This window comes from Homo sapiens, chromosome 1, assembly GCF_000001405.40.
Source record: "Homo sapiens chromosome 1, GRCh38.p14 Primary Assembly".
Lineage (NCBI taxonomy): Eukaryota > Metazoa > Chordata > Mammalia > Primates > Hominidae > Homo > Homo sapiens.
Genome location: NC_000001.11, coordinates 200,073,945 through 200,096,280, shown reverse-complemented (window position 1 = coordinate 200,096,280; position 22,336 = coordinate 200,073,945). Strand labels below are relative to the sequence as shown.

The 22,336-nt window shown below is 40.1% G+C and overlaps 1 protein-coding gene across 9 annotated transcripts in view, besides 2 other annotated features; it reads right to left on the bottom strand.

Annotated features, from left to right (window-relative positions):
- Window positions 1–22,336, bottom strand: part of NR5A2 (nuclear receptor subfamily 5 group A member 2) — a 149,706-nt gene that overhangs the window by 81,135 nt on the left and 46,235 nt on the right. The gene's annotated exons all lie outside the window — the stretch shown is intronic.
- Window positions 14,111–14,796: an enhancer, noted in NCBI's record as "OCT4-NANOG-H3K27ac hESC enhancer chr1:200050613-200051298 (GRCh37/hg19 assembly coordinates)". NCBI's record gives its function as "activates a minimal SCP1, AML or CMV promoter by ChIP-STARR-seq in naive H9 embryonic stem cells {active_cell/tissue: H9 hESC(naive)}" and the evidence as "EXISTENCE:reporter gene assay evidence [ECO:0000049][PMID:30033119]".
- Window positions 14,797–15,483: an enhancer, noted in NCBI's record as "OCT4-NANOG-H3K27ac hESC enhancer chr1:200049926-200050612 (GRCh37/hg19 assembly coordinates)". NCBI's record gives its function as "activates a minimal SCP1, AML or CMV promoter by ChIP-STARR-seq in naive H9 embryonic stem cells {active_cell/tissue: H9 hESC(naive)}" and the evidence as "EXISTENCE:reporter gene assay evidence [ECO:0000049][PMID:30033119]".

Genomic DNA, 22,336 nt, shown 5'->3' with positions numbered 1-22,336 from the left:
CCCCATCTCTATTCAAAATACAAAAATTAGTCAGGCATGGTGGCGCACACCTGTAGTCCTGGCTACTCAGGAGGCTGAGGCAGGAGAATCACTTGAACCCCAGAGGCAGAGGTTGCCATGAGCTAAGATAGTGCACTCCAGCCTGGGTGACAGACTCCACCTCAAAAACAAACAAACAAACAAACAAAATAAAGCAGCATTGTGGTATGGGTGTAGATTGATAACTAGAATAACAAAAATGCAGTAACATGAGAATAAATTTTCAAAATTAGTCTGTCACATGTCCTTGTCTTAATGATGTTGGCCATTACACACAAGTTAGAGAACCAAAGCATTTTCAGGCCCATCTAGTAGTACTTTTCCTATTATTTCTTTATGTCTCATTAGACTTTTCACTGCCAAAAAATTTTTTAAAAAATATTACTTGCTGGCCGGGCGCGGGGGCTCACACCTGTAATCCCAGCACTTTGGGAGGCCAAGGCGGGCAGATCACAAGGTCAGGAGATCGACACCATCCTGGCTAACGTGGTAAAACCCTGTCTCTACTAAAAATACAAAAAATTAGCTGGGCATGGTGGCGGGTGCCTGTAGTCCCAGCTACTCGGGAGGCTGAGGCAGGAGGATGGCGTGAACCCAGGAGGTGGAGCTTGGAGTGAGCTGAGATGGCACCACTGCACTCCAGCCTGGGCGAGAGTGTGAGACTCCATCTCAAAAAAAAAATATATTACTTGGTGATGGTTAAGGACTTTTACTTAGAAGATACCAAGTAGTAATCATAACCCATTCGTAGGAGACAGTATCTAACAACATTCACCAATGGACATCCAGCCAGGTGCTCAAGGTCAGGTGAATTTGTGCAGCATTGTTCTATATTTGTTCCCTGAAGTCTCATGCCACTTTATCTGAAGTGCCTATGCATTTCTCACTAGGCTGAACACAGCAGTTCAAACTGAGGACTCTGGGCATCTCATTGCTATTTCAATTACTCAAAAAGAGCTCAGCCAGGCATGATGGCACATGCCTATAGTCCCAGCTACTCAGGAGGCTGATGTGGGAGGGTTGCTTGAGGATAGGAGTTTGAGGATGCAGTGAGCTATGAGTATACCACTGCACTCCAGCCCGGGAAACAGTGAGATCTTTTTTTTTTTTTTCTTTTTATTAAAAAGGAGGTCAGATGGAGCCTGATTGAAGGGTAAACTATACCCTCTTCCTCATTGTGACCATCTGTCTTCACAAAGGCTGGGGACAGAATTATATCCTAAGATTTGGAATCTTACAAATATGTCCAGTCTTCTTGTTATGTTTAACATATTCCTTTATGTTCTTTTCTATCTATGAGAACTCTAGAAGAACACTACTTTTTCTGAAAGTTATTTTGGTGCCTGGTGTCTAAAAAGGCTATTTTTTCATCTGAAGAACAGTCATATTTTGACATTCAAAGTGGCATTTGGCCAGGCGCGGTGGCTCACGCCTGTAATCCCAGCACTTTGGGAGGCCGAGGCGGGCAGATCACAAGGTCAGGAGATCGACACCATCCTGGCTAGCACAGCGAAACCCCGTCTCTACTAAAAATACAAAAAATAAGTCAGGCGTGGTGGCAGGTGCCTGTAGTCCCAGCTACTCGGGAGGCTGAGGCAGGAGAATGGCATGAACCCAGGAGGCAGAGCTTGCAGTGAGCCGAGATCGAACCACTGCACTCCAGCCTGGGCGACAGAGCGAGACTCCTTCTCAAAAAAAAAAAAAAAAAAAAAAAAAAGTGGCATTTAATAGATGTGTATTTTAGAAATACCCATCCAGGCTGGGCGTGGTGGCTCACATCTGTAATCCTAGTACTTTCGGAGGTTGCAAAAAATGGACTGCTTGAGTCCAGCAGTTCAAGACCAGCCTGGGCAACATGGTGAAACTCCATCTCTACTAAAAACACAAAAATCAGGCAGGTGTGGTAGCCCGCGCCTGTAACCCCAGCTATTCTGGAGGCTGAGACACGAGACTCACTTAAACCCCTTGCTTAAAGGTTGCAGTGAACAGAGATGGCGTCACTGCACTCCAGCCTGGGCAACAGATCAACACTCTGTCTCCAAAAAAAGAAAAAAAAAAACCAATTTTTTTTTTGAGACAGCGTCTCACTCTGTTGCCCAGGCTGGAGTGCAGTGGCGTGATCTTGGTTCACTGCAACCTCCGCCTCCCGGGTTCAAGTGATTCTCCTGCCTCGGCCTCCTGAGTAGCTGGGACTACAGGCATGTGCCACCACAACCAGCAAATTTTTGTATTTTTATTTTTGTATTTTTAGTAGAGACGGAGTTTCACCATATTGGCCAGGCTGGTCTTGAACTCCTAACCTCGTGATCCGCCCGCCTCAGCCTCCCAAAGTGCTGGGATTACAGGCGTGGGCCACTGTGCCCGGCCAAGAAATTTTTAAAAATTTAGAAATACCCATCCAAAGAATGAGGTTAATTCAATTTTGCGAAAGTTTGGGCTAGATACTTGCCTCAGACTCGAGCTTCAAACTCTTCCTCGAGGCAAAATTTGACTTAAAATCTAGGAAAAGGAAGTCTAGGAGGAGTCTATAGACTACAAAGCCACCTGCTCATGTGCACAGCATTGTGCTTAGATTGGAAGAGATTCAAGGATGAACCGGAAACACTTTTCAACGAGCTTGTAACCAAGCGTAATGAAAATATCAAGTCTTGGCGGCTTTGGAGGCTGCTGTTTTCTCAATATTCATAGTTTCTCTGGAAAACCGTGTCTCAAAGTTAGAAGGGATCTGAGTCTGCTTTTATCCAGTTTGCATCTGGAATCTATACATCTTTTAAAAATTGGAAATATTTGGCTTGTTGGCTTGTTTCTACCTCATTTCTAGAATTATTTTGGCCCATTTCTTCAAGGAATTAGTACCCATGTGTGTGTTTTATGAGCCGGATTCACCAAGCCCTACTTCCTTGGTGTTTCTGCAATTAAATGACCACATATATACATCAATAGCATTGAGTTTTGACAAAAAGGAACATAGGGGAGACTCCTGAGTCCTGAAGATTGCACTGAGCAGGTTATCTTTTCATTAAGAAATGACCTATGTTGGCCGGGTGTGGTGGCTCATGCCTGTAATCCCAGCACTTTGGGAGGCTGAGATGGGTGGATCACAAGGTCAGGTGTTCAAGACCAGCCTGACCAACATGGTGAAATCCCTAAAACTACAAGTCTAATTGTACTAAAAATACAAAATACAAAAATTAGCTGGGTGTGGTGGCATGTGCCTGTAATCCCAGCTACTCAGGAGGCTGAGGCAGGAGAATCGCTTGAACCTGGGAGGCGGAGGTTGCAGTGAGCCAAGATTGTGCCACTGCACTCCAGCCTGGGCGAGAGAGTGAGACTCCATCTCAAAAAAAAAAAAAAAAAAAAAAAAAAAAGACCTGTCTTTTAGTAATATCAATGTTACACTTTAAAGCAAGTCATCTGCCTGTATTCAGATAAATGTGATCCATACTTTTGAGCACACATGATTCATAAAAACTACAGAAGAAAAAGAATAAACCCATGGTAGAAAAGCAACTTATTTATTTTAAAACCTTTTTTTTTTCTGACTAACTGATATACCAGCACAAGAGCCTAACACCAGAAACCAAAAGGGCCACCCAAATGAGGATGTAAAAACATCCACCTTTTGCCCTGGATGGCACCCCAGCTAGAATTCTCAGGCCCAGAAAGCTATCTATCTCTCTCCATTCACACGTGAGCTAACCAGTTCACGGAGGGAAGCGCCAATGAGCTATCAGATCAATATGGTGAAGTATGGAGATTGATTTCATCCCGGAGTAAGTGCATTAACGAGCTCCTCTGTGTGACCTTTGCCTAGTGGTACAAATTAGACTCCACCGCAGACCACATACTTAAATGGGATCCTTCAGTATTTGCTCGCTTTTAATAAAGCACACTACAGACAGACCTCAAAGATGACTACAAAAACTTATAGTGCGTCTTTTTATACAGGGAAGGAGGTCTTGTAGAGTTACTATATTATGTCTGAAATTATATAGCATTAAATAGACAAGATAGCATAAATGCAAACTTTCAAAGTAAAGCATATTCTTTTAAGAAGCGGGCTTTTTGTTTTTTACTAAAGGTGTTGAATATGTGTCTATGCAGGAAACCCTACTAATGGCTTCACTTAATTCTCTCAAAAAAGTTCAGAGAGATACAACTGTGCTCAAGATCCATGTTTCTCAAACTTGAACACACTTAGAGTTCACCTGGGGGTCCTGTTAAAATACACAGTGATCCAGCAGTTCGGGGGACTGTGATTCTACATGTCTAACAAGCTGACTAATGAAACCAATGCTGGTGGTTCATGTACCGCACTTTGAATAAAAAGCTCTAGAAAATTCTAGCAAACCAATGCTCCCCACTCCACATGTGCACATCAGTCCTCCACACACACTCACACACCAAAATGTTAGACACAGGAATATGGGATGAGAACAATAACTAAGATGGCAAAGGGGGCCAGGTGCAGTGGCTCACGCCTGTAATCCCAGCACTTCGGGAGGCTGAGGCGAGTGGATCACGAGGTCAGGAGATCAAGACCATCCTCACCAACATGGTGAAACCCGATCTCTATTAAAAATACAAAAATTAGCTGGGCATGGTAGTGTACACCTGTAGTCCCAGCTACTCAGGAGGCTGAGGCAGGAGAATCGCTTGAACCTGGGAGGTAGAGGTTGCAGTGAGCCGAGATCACGCCACTGCACTCCCACCTGGGTGACAGAGCAAGACTCTGTCTCAAAAAAAAAAAAAAAAAAGAAAGAGAGCAAAGGGTAAGGAGGTGCAAAATCAGACAGGTCTGGTACAGAAACAGGCTCCACCAGTGGCCAGCAGATCAGTGTGAACTCGGGCAAATAACTAAACCCCCTGAGCTTTAGTTTATTCTGGCTGCAGTCAAATTCTAATTAATATTGACCCTCCCCACTCCCCTTGTTGTAAGGGTTTAGTGAGCTAATAAATGAATAGAACTTAAGGCTTGAGCTCAATAAATAGTAGTCACTGTTAGAGTGCATCACTCTTCTATAAAAGTCAGTCTAGTCCCTAACCCTAGCTTGATCAAATATTACAAAGCAAATAATAATTTAATGCAAATACTGGAGTTGCTGCACGTTAAAGCAATAACTCCAGTCTTTTATTTGGACATGGTCTCCCCATTAATTCTCTTAATTGTCTTGGGGCCAAGCAGAAAGACCATAGCTGCTGGGGAGACCCAGAGGGATATTGATCTCAGAAGAATGAATGCAATGGCACCTACTTTAAAAGCCAGTCAATGTGGTCAAGGCTCAGGATGGCACCAGAACACAGGTTAAGACAATGCTGAAGTTCTTGGAATTTCCATCGCACTCCAGGGTGATTTATTGTGTACGTGAATGTGAGTGTGTGTTAGGGAGGGGGCAGAGGCTGACACTCAGGGAAACCTGTGTCTGTTTGTCAGTTACCTAGAGACATCTGTGCTGTCCTCAAACTGGCCCTGGTCTCACTGATGCCCCCTACCTCCAGGAGTACAGTCTCACAGCCACTGGGAGAGAAATCCCAGGACACTGAGAAGGGTTTTTGTTCCCCTGGATGTCCCTGATCTTACTTACTGATTTGAAAATTCAAGGTTGGAAAATGTATTCATTTGGCATCAATCTTTAATCCCAATGAAAGAGTAGACACCCATAGGAGTGATAATATTTAAATCAGTGGCTTTACGAGTATGGTCCAGGGAGTCAAGAGGTTACAACTATTTTTCCAATTACACCAAGATGTTATTTGCCCTTTTCACCCTCCACTTGTCAGGAGTGTGCAGAGGCTACAGGATGTAATGACATCATCACTCTGGTGACAAATGGAATGTGTATTTGTGGATGCTTGATTTGTAACCATATCTCTGTTTTTAACTCCCAATACATTATATAAACTAAAGGTCTCCATAGTCCTCATTTTCAGAAGTGCAAAGCGTCCTGAGACCAAAAGGTGTGGGAACTACTGCTTTAAATCAACACAAGTCATTTGCATATAATCATAAATGAATTTCTGACAAGTTAAAAATTTTGTGGTGTAACTACCAAATTCAAAACTCTGTGCTAGAGTTTGTGAGAGGAAACAGTGACAAGAAAGAGGTTGGAAAGAGTTGAGGGGGTAGACATATAACTAACAGAAACCAGGCTAGGAGTGAGTGTGCAATTGCGATCATCTTACATCCCATCCCAGATTTTGCCAGATAGTCCCCATTTCAAATAGTCCCCATTTCAAATAGTCCCCATGTCAAATACGTCCAGGCCTACATTTAGACTAGTCAAATCAATGGCTTTGAGTTTGGCAGGTGAGACGAGATGGAGAGGAAGACAGTGATGATGAGATACCTGGTTGAGGAATTCTAATTTTTTCTGCATATGCAATAGAAAGTTGTGAGTGATATGATCAAACCAGACAACCCAGGATAATAACTGCAGAGAATGTGTTGTTTGACAGTGCAAGAAAGAAACAGGGCCAGGTGCAGTGGCTCACGCCTGTAATCCCAGCACTTTGGGAGGCTGAGGAGGATGGATCCCTTGAGCCCAGGAGTTCAAGACCAGCCTGGGCAACATGGCAAAACCCCATCTCTACTAAAAATACAAGAAGTAGCTGGGCTTGGTGGCACACGCCTATAGTCTCAGCTACTCAGGAGGCTGAGGCACAAGAGTAGCTTGAACCTGGGGGCGCAGGCTGCAGTGAGCCGAGGTGGTGCCACTGCACTCCATCCTGGGCGACAGAGTGTGATTCCTTCTCAAAAGAAAGAAAGAAAGTTGTACAAAGTTGCAGGCCAGGTGTGGTGGCTCATGCTTGTAATCCCAGCATTTTGGGAGGCTGAGGCGGATCACTTGAGGACAGGAGTTCGAGACCAGTCTGCCCAAAGTGGCGAAACCCAGTCTCTACTCGGGAGGCTGTAACATGAGAATCTCTTGAACTCAGGAGGTGGAGGTTGCAGTGAGCCGAGATGGTGCCACTGCACTCCAGCCTGGGTGACAGTGCAAGACTCTGTCTCAAAAAACAAAACAAACAAAACAAAACAAAACCCAAAGTTGCAGAACTAAATGAGGCTTATTGGAGGTGATGATCATTTATGTTTCAGCAAGCAATTCACGATGCTGCTGTGGAGTTTGCGAGAGAAAGTATGGCATAATTGTGTTTGTGGGAGAAATCACTAAGAATGTGTGGATGAGAAAGTAAGGAAACCAATAAGAGAAAACTAGAAAAAAATATTGTTTAAGATTGGGTAGAGGGAGAGGAGCTAGTGAAGAAACCTAGCAAGGTGCACTCAGAGAGGAGTACTGAGTAGTGACCAAGAAGTCTGGGCCAGAAGGAATTTCAAGGATGGCCAAGGATTAAAATGGGGAGAGAGGATGAGGGCTGAGAAGATGTGGCTAAGCTCCTTGATGATGTTTAAGATTCACAAGAGGCATTTCCCATGGAGAAGTGCAAATGCAGTGAGCTTGCTGCCCGGCTTTAGCACTGCAGTCCTACAGTATTGGCTGTGTTAACACCAAAAAGAAGAGGTGGAGAAAAGGGCAAAGGTGTCATGATGAGAAAAGGTAGGACGGTGACAGACAGGGAGACCCATGTAATGTGGTGTTCTATTTTCAGGAGGGGAGCTTTGCACATTCATGTGGACTGATGAGAGCCAGTGGAAGAGGAAAGATTTAAATAACAAGGGGCTGGGCGGTCAGGCATGGTGGCTCACGCCTGTAATCCCAGCACTTTGGGAGGCCGACGTGGGCAGATCACCTGAGGTCGGGAGTTCAAGACCAGCCTGAGCAACATGGAGAAACCCTGTCACTACTAAAAATACAAAATTAACTGGGCGTGGTGGCACATGCCTGTAATCCCAGCTACTCAGGAGGCGGAGGCAGGAGAATCACTTGAACCCGGGAGGTGGAGGTTGCAGTGAGCCAGGATCGCGCGACTGCACTCCAGCCTGGGCAACAAGAGCAAGTGGGATGAGATGGAGAGGAGTTTTTTATTGTTTCAATAAAAAAACAAAAACAAAAACAACAACAACAAAAAAAAACAAGGGGCTGGGCACCATGGCTCACGCCTCTAATGCCAACACTTTGGGAAACCAATGTGGGAGGACTGCTTGAGGCTAGGAGTTCAAGACCAGCCTGGGCCACACGTGAGACTCCATCTCTAATTACAATAAACAAACAAAATTAAAATGTTAGCAAGGGGCCGGGCATGGTGGTTCATACGTGTAATCCCAGCATTTTGTGAGGCCCAGGTGGGCAGATCACCTACGATCAGGAGTTCAAGACTGGCCTGGCCAACATGGTGAAACTCCATCTCTTCAAAAATATAAAAATTAGCTGAGCATGATGGTGGGTGCCTGTAGTCCCAGCTACTCAGGAGGCTGAGGTGGGAGAATTGCTTGAACCCAGGAGGCGGAGGTTGCAGTGATCCGAGATCACACCATTGCACTCCAGCCTGGGAGACAGAGCAAGACTCTATCTCAAAAAATATATAAAAATAAAAATAAAAAAAATAAAATGTGACTAAGGGATGAAAGAACAGATAAAAGGGAAATAAAGCCGGGCGCGGTGGCTCACTCCTGTAATCCCAGCACTTTGAGAGGCCGAGGCAGGCAGATCACGAGGTCAAGAGATCGCGACCATCCTAGCTAACACGGTGAAACTCTGTCTCTACTGAAAATACAAAAAAATTAGCCAGGTGTGGTGGTGCGTGCCTGTAGTCCCAGCTACTTAGGAGGCTGAGGCAGGAGAATGGCCTGAACCCAGGAGGCGGAGGTTGCAGTGAGCCAAGATCACACCACCGTACTCCAGCATGGGAGACAGAGTGAGACTCCGTCTCAAAAAAAAAGGGAAATAAAGTGGATGGAGAGTACAAGTAGGAGAATTACAAAAGAAGGGACCTGACAAACTCCATGAGGAAAGATGGCTATTGAACTGAAAGGACAAACTTAAACCTTTCTTGAGAATAAGCTTTAAGAGGAAGGGTGTGTGTGTGTGTGTGTGTGTGTGTTGGTGAAGAAGGGTGTATGTGTTGAAGGGAGAGGGACATTTGTGGATGTATGAATATTGGAAGAGGAAGAGTATGCATGGGCTGCAACAAGGCAGATAAAGGTCAAAGCTGAAAGGCAGAAACCACCTGAACAAAGACCCTTCAGCTACTTTAGAAACTAAAATTTGTCTACCCGATATTGTCCCCAATTTTTTATTTTTATTTTTGAGGAGTCTCATTCTATATCCCAGGCTGGAGTGCAGTGGCACCATCTCGGCTCATGGCAACCTCCACCTCCCAGGTTCAAGTGATTTTCCTGCCTCAGCCTCCTGAGTAGCTGGGATTACAGGCATGTGTCACCATTCCCAGCTAATTTTTGTATTTTTAGTAGAGAAGGGGTTTCACCATGTAGGTCAGGCTAGTCTTGAACTCCGTACCTCAGTTGATCTAGCCGCCTTGGCCGCCCAAAGTGCTGGAATTAGAGGCGTGAGCCACCTTGCCCGGCCTTGTCCCCAATTTTAGCACAGGTCAGGATTGCAGAGAAAAAGAGGACTCACATTTGTTGAGATTTTACTCTCCTTAGGGAACTTCTATCACTGCACTCAACATATCGTAGTCTATTAGCTGAGTCTTTTATTTCTAAAAAAGTTTCCAGAAGTCAGGCCGGCGCAATGGCTCATGCCTGCAATCCCAGCACTTTGGAGTGCTGAGGTGGGAGGATCACCTGAGGTTGGCAGTTCAAGACCAGCCTGACCAACATGGAGAAACCCCGTCTCTAATAAAAATACAAAATTAGCTGGGTATGGTGGCGCATGCCTGTAATCCCAGCTACTCGGGAAGCTGAGGCAGGAGAATAGCTTGAACCCAGGAGGCAGAGGTTGCGGTGAGCTGAGATTGTGCCACTGCACTCCAGCCTGGGCAACAAGAGCAAAACTCCCTCTCAAAATAAAAAAAAAAAGTTTCCGGAACTCATTCTCTCCCCACCCTCTTACCTCTCCATTAATAATAGACTTAATTGTTTGGCATAAATAAGGCTTGTTTGACATAGTAATTAAAGGAAGGCAGAAAGTCTTAACAACAGTAAGTGAATCATACTGGACTCTGGGAGTTGGTCACATTTTCTCCACCCTAACTCAAACCAGTGTTTCAGCATCTTTTATCACGTAGTTAGCCTGATAATCTCCAAACGACTCACGAGTAAAAACACCACCCCCCATCTCACCACCCTCTATTCTAGAATGGACAGAGGTGACTATGGACCAAACAGCTCTTACATTAGGCGCAAAGAAAATGAGCACCACACAGACTTAAAACAATTGTCTCCTAGCATCCTATATAAGTATAGAGATATCAAATGCACATAGATCAACACATTTGTTAGTTTGAAGATAAATTGTGTCGGTCTTTTGCAGATGTTTCTTATCTACTGAGTTTCTGAAATGTAATTTTTGTTTTGGAAATGCTGAGATATATGTTCAGGAACAGCATTCGAACACATTCCCCACAAAAATCGCATTGGGATTCACAGTTTTGTACATGTGTATCCCCCTCTTTAAGGGTAGAGACCATTTCTTTCTTTCTTTTCTTTTTTTTTTTTTTTGAGATAGGTCTTCATTCTGTTGTGCTCTAGACACCATCTCTAATCCATCTCTCTGTATCCAGATATTCTAGCACACTGCACTCTACAAATATTTAATTTTTTAGATAACCACGTAAGTTATACATTACCCCTATTTTTAGAGAAGGACAGTGAAGTTACATGCTGAGCTTATGGGAAGCAAATGGAAGGGGATTTGAAGCCAAGTGTGACTCCAAGGCCTGCCTAATTTCCACATCAGGAGGCTTCTATGGTGATGATAAGAGGGAAGTAACTGTATAGCCAGTGCCTTGTGCCAAGCCCAAGTATTTGTTGAATCAATCAAATACAGCACCAGGGGCTTTTAAGCATCAATAAAGGAAGGAGGAAATTGACTTTTCTTGAATATATACTATCTACCAAGGACTTAATTTGTGTTAAGTCATTTAATCCCCAGTAAAATACCTGAAAGAGGTAATGCCATGTTTTACAGATGAGGACACAGAGCCTAAAACGAGCTAAGTAAATAATCTACAAGTAAAAAAGGGTACATACATGTCACTTCTGATCCTCCTCCTCCTATCTCCACTAGACGGAAGCATTAGTCCCCCACTGGCAGTAACCCACCCTGGAGCCTCCTGAGGGTAGAGCCCCGGATACTTCTGCCTGTCTTTCATCTTCAAGTTTCAACAAGTCATTTAATCTGGAAGAATCAGATCCGGTACAAACGGCTCACAATGCGGCACTATGATTGAGTTCTTAATGTATTAGACTGTAGCAGTATTCGACCATAGCATTATTTAGTGGCTGGAAAACCTGATCCTCCTTTGATAAATGTATTTGTTTTCCTGTTACATTTTGTATTTATGGATACAGTATGCTTTGATACCACATTTTTGTTATGCCAGAAATGTTTACTGTTCTTGTATTATCGAATCAATGAATTAGGGAGAGGTTACTACAAAGGGATTAATGCATTTTTAATGAAAATGCATGATAAAACTTGTTATTCATTACGAATAATGGCAGATCTATGAGATTTACATGGGTAAGAGCTTTGTGAGTTTATCTGAAAGCATACATAATGGGTCTCATTTAGCTGTAATATGGAAAATATTATTCTTAGAGATTCTAGTAAGTGTGAAAATCCATTGTTTATTCAGATGATTTACACCCTTCTCTGTGATCAGTTCACCTATATAAAGTTACTAACTATAAATCTACCTTTAAAAAACTATTATTTTTCCCTAAATCATTATTGTTCTTTTTTTCCCTTGATTCCAAGCTTCAGAAAGGAATACAATTAAGATAATCCCTGAGCATATGTGGGAAATGTACTTGAACTCACCATATGCCAGTTGGGAAAACTGGTATGATCTCCTGAAGGCTTAAACAGAAAGAGAGCAGAAACATTCCATTGCTAAGATTAGGCTAGCTTGCCAGATTATAAGTGCTTTTTAATTACATGAGTGCAATTGTCTTAAATAAATGCTCTTAGTCACTAAAATAGATATAAATATGATCCTCAAAAGCAGGGATTTTTGTCTATGCTCTTCATGTTGAATCTCTAAGTCCTATAATGTTACCTGGCATACGACTAATACTTGATAAGTATTTACTGAATGAAAGAAGGAATCTTAAGAATATCTGACCTACCCTATGGTATTTAAACTGTACTTTATTATTATTATTATTATTATTATTATTATTATTATTATTTTGAGATGGAGTTTCGCTCTTGTTGCCCAGGCTGGAATGCAATGGTGTAATCTCAGCTCACTGCAACCTCCACCTCCCAGGTTCAAGCGATTCTCCTGCCTCAGCCTCCCAAGTAGCTGGGATTACAGGCATGAGCCACCATGCCCGGCTAATGTTGTATTTTAGTAGAGACGGGGTTTCTCCATGTTTGTCATGCTGGTCTTGAACTCCCGGCCTCAGGTGATCCACCTGCCTCAGCCTCCCAAAGTGTTGGAGTTACAGGCATGAGCCACTGTGCCCAGCAATACTGTACATTGCTATACAATATTGCTGTACAATACTGTACAATACTGTATATATATATACTTCAACTGTGTAAATGTAAAGCAATCTGGAGAGTTCATATTGCTTAGTAGGTCTTTACGATACACACATGGCGAAGCCTTTCATTATCTAATGACAATGAGGAGGCTGTACAGGAATCCATAAAATGCATAAAAATTCTTATCTCACCATTTGAAATGGTTTTTAAAATGTACACATATATGTAATGTATGGATTACTTATTACTTGTGTGATAAGAACTTTAGAGGCAACATCAAATGAGCATTGTATTGAAAATTACTTGGACAGCAAATGATGACATTTGTTACTTAAGAAAAGCCAGTTGGAGTTAACTTTTTAGGATGAAATGAATTGATTTGAATTTCAGAAATAAATAAGCTGAGTATTATAAATTTTTCTTTAAATTATTTTTCTTCTTCTGTGACTACCACATTTGTAGGTAAACCCAGAAAAATAAAATTGCTTATACAATAATGACAGTGAAGTCTCAAAACTACTTTACATTGTTGATAGTTTGATATCTGTAACCCATTGTCTTGCTTAACCTTACTATTAGAAATATGAGTTCTGAAAAACTTCCATAGAAAAACTGTGACATTTTTATCTTTAAATAAAGATAAGTGTTATGATTTTTAAAAATCAGAATTTCAGTCCAAAATCTTCTAGACTGAAAAACTCAGAGACATATAGCCTTAGTTTCTTAGGGTATATGTTGGAAGGGTCATCTTAGTTCCAGAAAAAAAATTAAATGCTTTTCAGGTAGGTTGCATGCCTTTTTAGGTTAAAAACACTAATAAATATGTAAGACCTTTGTAGATGCACAGCAGGTGTTTTGAGGGCTTTACACTGAAAAGCTGACAACTAATTATAAAAGCCTGACTGGACTAATCAATTATTCAGATCAACATTAGATGCCTATTATATACAGAAACATGGGAATTATATCTCCCTTAATTAATATACTAAAATCATGAGTTTAAAACATTCTAATGTGAAATGTGAAGACATATAAGTCTTAATACTAAGACTCATTCCAAATAATAAGTATTTGTAATTTGTTGCCTCTCATTCAAGAATTAAATTCCTATTGACCCTACATTAGTCACACAAAAGACATTTTTTTCGGTTTGACTCATATGTTTGTAATTTGTTTTATATTCTTAAAATGAAAAACGTGAACCAAATAATTGATACAAAGTACTCTGTACAAAGACACCAATGGCCAGATGATGCAAAACACCTAATGTGATGTTCTTCTCATAACAGCAGCAACAAAATATATTTTTTGTTCTTCAAGGAACTTTTAGAATTGTATACAAAAATATGATCATAATTTTTAGAATGTAAACCTATTCATCTTTTAAATAGTGCATCTGTTTTATCCAAGTCTGTTTTAAGCATCTTTCCCCTAATCAGGAGATTTTTTCTAGAGTAATGAAAACAAAAATTTCCTCTTACAAACAAGCTTTTGGGAAGCAGTTGCCTGTCAAATAGATACTGCTTCTTCCCTCCAATGAGAATGCTGTCTCTGGCATTTGGGGTTGGTGTGGAGGGGAGGACGGGGTTGTAGCAAGTTCTTAAATAGATTCAAACCATACGAAAACCAGAAATAGATGCAACCAGACACCTGCTGACAAACAGTGACAAATCCCACTGACACTGCGGTGACCCCCTGTTAGCTGAGATTTAATTAAGGGGCATAATTAAGTCAGTAGAACAGAACACTAATGAGTGGTGTTTTTTTTTTAATATGGGTAATTACACGTAAAAATACAAAGTGTCAGGGAGACCTAAATATATCATTAAAATGAACAGTATAGAATAACAAACAGAGTGCTAAGTATGCCTCTTCTATTGCTGTTAAAAAAAAAAAAAAGGTAGACTATGTTTCAGGTTGAATAATACTCAGGCAAGTTTATGTTGGCTTCATGCTGGGAACATTTGTTATTCTAATTTTGCAACAATAAGCGACTATGTGTATTGAGATCCTGTTTTCAATGCAGATTCCATTGCCTTTGAAGTCTTTCTGCATTTAGCATTTTGTCCAACTGCAAATGAGCAATTAAGAGGCTGTTTGCAAGTATTTGGCTTCCTATGGATCAGCTTATGGAGGTGTCCATCTGAGCTGGGAGACTTTGACAGATGTGGAAGACAGGCGGGCATTATTTACTAATTCGGAATGAGCTTTCATTTTAACCAGTTATGTGGTATGCTTTGATTTGATCTCTGCTTTAGGCATTGATATAACCCACAGGACTGTGGTCTACTGACTGGGAAATACCACAGAGGAAGGGAAATAGGACTGAAATAAAGTTGGTAACTTTTCAAACATGAAAATGAGGCATTTAGGTCACAAGCTGAAATGACGAAAACAACTACATTTTATTCTGTGATTGAAAAGCATGCCTGTGTGGTTTGGGACCTGCCCTTCTGTTGGGAGTATTTTAGCTATGGTACCCTCAGCTGGTGGACTGAAGTCCTTGGCAGGCTTTTATCCATTTATCCAAGCAACAAGTGGAAAAACAGATTCTTTTGACGGCTAATGCTCCTCATTCAACTCAATGTAACTGGTGATTCTGAATCTTTCCTCTAAGAAAGTTATTAAATATCTTCTTGCAGGTACTAAACATGCCTCTCCAGTCTTCTTGCTTCTGGTCTAACCTCTACTTTGCAATATTCCAGAGGAAAAGAAAAGGACATCTGTGTAATCATTATTAACAGGGGCCAATGGCCAGATGCTGCATGTTTCTACTGAGGGCAATATGAATAGGGATTGTGATAAGGATCCCTTGTAAATATATGTGAAAAGTATTTGCAATTTGTTGCCTCTCATCCAAGAATGAAATTCCTATTGATACTCAGATATTATCTGATCATTTGTCCAATATTAACTTCTTGTAGTTAAATGCCAGTGTATCTGTGATGATAATGGAAAGTTTCTCCAGGTGAAGAATTTGTTTTTGACAAAGCTATTCGAGATAAAATGTCCACAAATAGGATTTTGATATTTCATACAGTGGTGTGAGAATTCACCAAACACAAGGGTAATGGAACACAAAAGAGCTGGAAAGAAAAATCGCCTTTTGTTTAGATAGTGAGTTTACAGAGCTCATTTTTCCTTAATGCTTGCCATAAAATAAGCATTCTCTCTCTGACAAAGCTAGTATCACAATTACCAGGAACTATAAAATCAAAGATTTTATATATATATATCTCAAACCAGAGTTAATAATTAAATTTCAAAATACTATAAATCAAAGCATATTAGAATCCAAATATTTTCATGAATATTAAGTCTATGAACATTAAGAGGCTGAGGCAAATGATTTTTGCAGTCTTAGACTCTATAGTACAACTTTGAGAGGCCACACAAGGTTAATTCGGGTGACTGGTTCCATTAATCTAGTGACCAGTTCTATTTGATTGTAACATTTGAGCCATTAGACATATTTCTTGGTAGCATTGCCTGATGGTTCTTGTTAGGCAAATTAATCATGGATCTCTGTGTAAAGCACCTTTTTCCAACTGTCTGTTCTCCTTCTTTCTCCAAATCACCTCAAACTTTTTGGAAATAATAAAGAAAAATAGAGTAAGCCATTTGCTAAAAGCCTGGGGAGTGCAAAACAGTAATAAAGTCAAAAGCTATTTGATAGTATCTAGCTTTTATGTAAGCAACTTTTTGAAACCCAAATGACTAAATTTTGGACTGAGCCTGTCTTCCCAAAATGACACATATGTTTGATTCCTAACATCCCTTTCACCATTTTTTTTTTTTATAACAAGGCCACCCTTATCAAGTCATGTATGAATGAACAGAAGTGTCTTTCATTCCCCACTTGCCTCACGGTTCAAAAGGAACTACTAAAATAGCAGCAAAAAAATCCAACAGCCTGCCAGTGGGCTTGCACCGGTCCCATTCCTAAAGGCATGCAAAAGGTTGGAGAGCTCAGCAAAATTTTTATGTATGGGAGCAGGCCCAAGGAAAACTCACACGCCATAACCAATTGTGGACAGAGGATCATCTATCAGCAGACAAATGCAGGAACTCCAGAATGTCTCTCCTCAAATGAAATAATATATCTTTGAAAGCCAATGCCCGTTTTAGGCCCCAGGCCCATATATCAAGCCTGAGAGGCTTGTGGAATCGCTCCAGGGCCATTAACCTTCCACCTGTTTCCCCTTGTCCTTCAGGATGAGACCCTGCCCTTGATTTTACTCCCTTCCCCTGTTCATCTTCCGACAGAGTGTAAATGTAAAGCAGCGGGCCTGTGAAATAATTCAAAGGCAATGGACCAGGGGCATGGTTACAAATCTCTGCCACTGGCACTGTGACTTATGCAGGCAGTTTGTCACACATGAGCCAGGTGACCTCAGTGACATAACAGAGAAAAATATCGCCAGAGATCAAAGATGGGATTCGGAGCACTCTAAGTAACTCTGCTCCATAGAGTGAGCAGGTTATATGGTATCCAAGGATTTCCCCTTATATCAATAACATTTGTTCTGGTGAAACAGAAAAGGTAGCCCAGAGACTCCCTAATTGAAATCATTTCTGTCAAGTAGAATTGGGGCCATTTCTGTAACATGAGGATTAGAATTTCTGTTTTCTTGATCATGCCTTATAGTTGCTATGAATGCCAGGAATAGGCAACATAAATCCATCTAATTCAACTTTAATACAGAGAAATTAATAGAAATTGAAAAACATAAAAGTGAGTCCATGAAGAATTTGTCAGCCTGAGTACTTAAAAGCTATTATTGTAAAGGTAAAAGGAAAGTTTTACTATCGCTTATAAATTTGCTAGGTCAAAGAAGTGGTTAAGTAAATTTTTTGAGGCTTACACTATTCATTAAAATGAATTTCACATGTTTATTATGTATTATGTATAACATTAAAGTAAGGTAGTAAATAAAGGATCTAATGAGAGCACATGCATGAAGTTACTTTAAAGAAGTCCAAGACATTCTCCAGATCATATTAGAACTTAAGAAAATGTAGAATGACCCATAAATGGCTAAAAAAAGTAGAGGGGTATATTGGAAGAAAATTAATAGTTGAAATAGTCTTAATTATGAAAGAATTAATTTCTAGTTTGTATTTGTTACTTAAAGTATGATTTTCCTCAGTTGTTCTGTGCATTCAAGTATTCTCTGTTGGGTCTAGAAAATGAACAAGACTTTAACATAGTCCTCCCTAGGCCCATTGTCTTTTCTGTAGCATTAAATTTTGAATTTTTCATAAATTAAAATAACTACAAACAATCAGTCTTGATTCACTGGTTGAGACAGGCAAGTGCACCTTAGTTCATTCCTTTCCTGTTCTAAAGCAAGGTAGCTGGGATGTAGGTAACTTCCCTTGACATGCCATACATAACACACACGAGTATCTCTTTCCAAGTGCTATTGAAGTCTTTAGTGGACCAACTCATGTGTTTTTGCCTTCTCCAAGTGTGCTGGTATCAATGCCAAATTTCTAACGTAGATATGTTAGAAAATAAAAACAATCAACTTTGTTTAATAATCAGAAAGTTCTGATGCCCACGTTTGGAGCAATTTGAAATGCTTGCTTGAATCTTCACAGAAACGTGAGGATACTAACTTTCTTTAACTAGCTTCTTTACCTGGGACTATCACTAGGCTTCAATGAGTCCATGAAGCCCTGGGATTGCATGCAAAATTTCTGTTTTATGCATTTTTCTGGGAAAATTAGTACAAGCTATCATCAGATACTCAAATAATGTTAACAGTGACTGCTAGAGAACAGAAGTCAAAGCCCTAAACTAGAATCAAAAACTGCGAGAGCCCTAAAGGTCATCCAGACTGACGTACCATCTTGCAAATGAGAAAAAGAAGTCCGAGGAAGACGGAACCACACAACTACTAAGTTGATGCAAAATTAATTGCCAGTTTGTTTGTTTTTGTTTCTGTTTGAGACCAAGTCTTGCTCTGTCACCCAGGCTGGAGTGCAGTAGCACTATCTTGGCTCACTGCAACCTCCGCCTCCCAGGTTCAAGCGATTCTCCTGCCTCAGCCTCCCGAGTAGCTGGGATTACAGGCACCCACCACCATGCCTGGCTAATTTTTGTATTTTTAGCAGAGACGAGGTTTCACTATGTTGGCCAGGCTGGTCTTGAACTCCTGACCTTAGGTGATCCACCTGCCTTGGCCTCCCAATGTGCTGGGATTACAGGCTTGAGCCACCCAGCCCAACCTAATTGTGGTTTTAATGGCAAAAACCGCAATTAATTTTGCACTAACCTAATACAATTTATTAAACATTAGCTAGTGAAAATGAGTTACTGAAACTCCGGAATTTGCTTCTTAATTAAGGACCTCTTCCTCTACATGTGATACCAATCTTTCCTTTGGCTGTTGTTTAAAAGTCAGATTTTGTTGTATGACCCTTAAAATAATTTTTCTGTGATGCCGAAACCTAATTATGAGAAATACATATGTTTTTAAAACAACATAAAACATTTTATAATTCTGGCCTTAGGCATCTGTTGGTATGAATAAATGTTTAAAAGACTTTCATTTGTAGATTAAAATTTATGTTTTATAAAAACGGCACTAAAGTAGTAGATATTATGCCTTAAACGCTTGTTAGGTTTTTTCTTGAAAAAGGATAGTTTGTATACATGTCACATGACATGGTCTACCTAACTTTTAAGTAGCTTTGTTGTATCAAATTCATTTTAAGTACATTTTAAACTTCTCTATAATTAATATTTAATTTATACAAATTAATCTATTATCTCTAACAGTGAGTGAGTTAGTGGAAGTTCCTTTGTAATATTTATGAAAATCTCAAACCAAGATCATGCAATGCCACCTATTACCAAAAAATATGTTTCTACTTAATGTTTATTTTGAATTCTCCAAACCTCCAAATTATTAACAAAAATGCTAAGCAAGTCATGCTGTTCATTTAAATGGCAACTCTGTACCTACTCAATAGTTAAAACACTAAATCTGAAAAGATGTCAGCTGCTTTTGAATTCTCAAATCAAGTAAGGTATTTACTATTCTCAGTAAGCTACCTAAATTAGTCACTCCTTTTAGAAGTACAGGACAAAAAATGAAAAAGATACTATAATAGTAAGTTAACCTAAAATTTTTAATCCACTAATGCTCTGCGATTTAAAACAAATAAGATACGGTTAGCCTGCAGACAAAAAAAAAAAAAAATTCCTGGGCATGAATCACTGCTTACATTCTTTTCCATCCACAAACAATTTCATTTGGGAAAGTTGCCACATAGTATCGACAGTGACAACAAATGGCATTGTCCCGTGAACATCTGTTTCCGACTCCCACACTGATACTGCAGGCTGGGTACTTAGGACTTAGTTGGTCTTCACAAGTTGCTGAGCCACAAAGGAACTGGAAATCACTGGTACGTTGAGGTTTTATTATTGGAACACAGGAAAACTTTATCATCATGCTGGGAAGTTCTGTATCTTTTGAAATATTGGAACCGGGGTTATGTTAGCACATTAAACCATGCGGAAGACTACTTCTGAAGAAAGGGGAGGAAAAAAACTGTTTCTTGTCTATTATGTCCTTGGGTTGAGGTTCCCACTCAATCTTCATATAACTTCCTCACCCACCCTCAACCGAAAATTGTTTTGTTTTTAAAAGATGTTATTGAGTTTAGCTTCTTGTTAAAATCAAGAGAACAGAATACCAAAGGAATTCTAAGCAAAACATGATAAATAAACACTATTGTTTCTTAACAAAAAAAAAAGAAAAGAAAACAGAAGAGCTTTTATACACACTTTTATTTTTTCTAAATTCACACTACCATGCTTCACATTTTCTGAAAGCCTGGCGATATAAGGCTCGTAAAGACTCTTGACTAGAACATCCTCACCTCAGCCCACAGTGTTAAAAGGAGGAGGGCAAAGAGCTGCTGGGAGAAAAGCCAGCATGAGTGGATAAGTGGAGAGGTGGCGACAAGACACAGATGTGCGACTTTGGCTTTTGCTGCTCAACTTGTGCTACAACGGTAACGGTTTATGCACGTCTTTCAAGAACCCTTCAAGTGCACGCAACAGATTACTACTCTGTTTTACACCTCTTCTCTGTGTGGCACTTAGTTTTAATGAAAGTCTAATTCTAAACTACTTGCATGCTGCAACTATTTGCATGCTCCAAATTAATTTGCATATTGCTGAAGCAAAGAGGCTTCCTTTTTTGGCGCTTAGTTTTAACAAAAGCAGTAATAGAAGTGAATGTTATTCACAATGGTAATTCTGAATCAACCTATATTAAAACTACTGGCATGCTTCAAATTAATTTGCATATTGCTGAAGCAAAAAAGCCTCCTTTTTTTGCAAAGCGGCTTTCCTTTTTCCACTTATATTAATGGAAATGTTCAGTGGGATATGCAGTCAATGTCTGACTTATGTATACTTGGTAAATGGTTCATTCTAAAAAATATATATTGGAACATATTACATAAAACACTGTTTACTTCATTTGGCATCACACAAAATAGGCACTCCAAAAAATATTTATTAAAGAGATCACCAAATGAAATTACCACAGAGCTGTCTGGCTGAAGATAGGACAATAATAAATTCCTACTGGAGAGAAATAATTCTAAGACTTATTTTTCCTAGAGGACAATCTTTCACCAGAATACACATATAGTTTATAAATAAGTAATACATGTTTTTAAAAAGAATTATTACTAAATTCCATATCTTCATAATTTCACGTGTAAACCCCTAAAAATGTAACTATTTAAAAAATAATCATTCAGTCTATCATGACTACTTATGGGAAAATATATCCATATTTGGAGAAGTTTTTTTTTTAATTCCAGTCCATAGTGATTTAAAAAAAAAAAATTAAAGTGTTTGAGATTTGTGTTTCTCTCGTGTTTTTTTTTTTTTTTTTTTTGAGATGGACTCTCGCCCTGTCGCCCAGACTGGAGTGCAGTGGTGTGATCTCGGCTCACTGCAGGCTCCACCTCCTGGGTTCCCGCCATTCTCCTGCCTCAGCTTCCCGAGTAGCTGGGACTACAGGCACCCGCCACCAAACCTGGCTAATTTTTTGTATTTTTAGTAGAGACGGAGTTTCACTGTGTTAGCAAGGATGGTCTCGATCTCCTGACCTTGTGATCTGCCCGCCTCGGCCTCCCAAAGTGCTGGGATTACAGACGTGACCCACCGCACCCGGCCCTTTTTCTTCTTTCTTTCTCTCTTTCTTGTTTTTTTTTCTTTTTTTTTTCTTTTCTTTTAGATTAAAGACAGGGTCTTGCTATGTTGGTCTTGAATCCTCCCACCTCAGCCTCCCAAAGTGCTAGGATTTCAGGTGTGAGCCACTGTGCCTGGCCTCTCCCACTTTTAACTACAGTCTTACAATCAGTTCTCAAATAACTGCACTCATAATTCATTATCAAAAAGAAAAAAACATTAATAAACAGGCAATCAAAAATTAGAACTAGATCTGTAATATTCATGCCCATGAATCATTTCATTACTAATAGACTATTTATATTGTTTTTTATGCTTTTTAGCATACTTTTATTATGTCATTGATTCCTCACGAGGACCAAGTATAGCCATTTTCATCCAAATCAGTCTTGAAGAAAAATTCAAGAGGAATTCTTTAAGATTGAGTTGATTCAAATGGCACCATCTCTGCAAAGTTTTCCCTGGTGCCCCCTCCACAGACAGAAAAGCTCTGCCC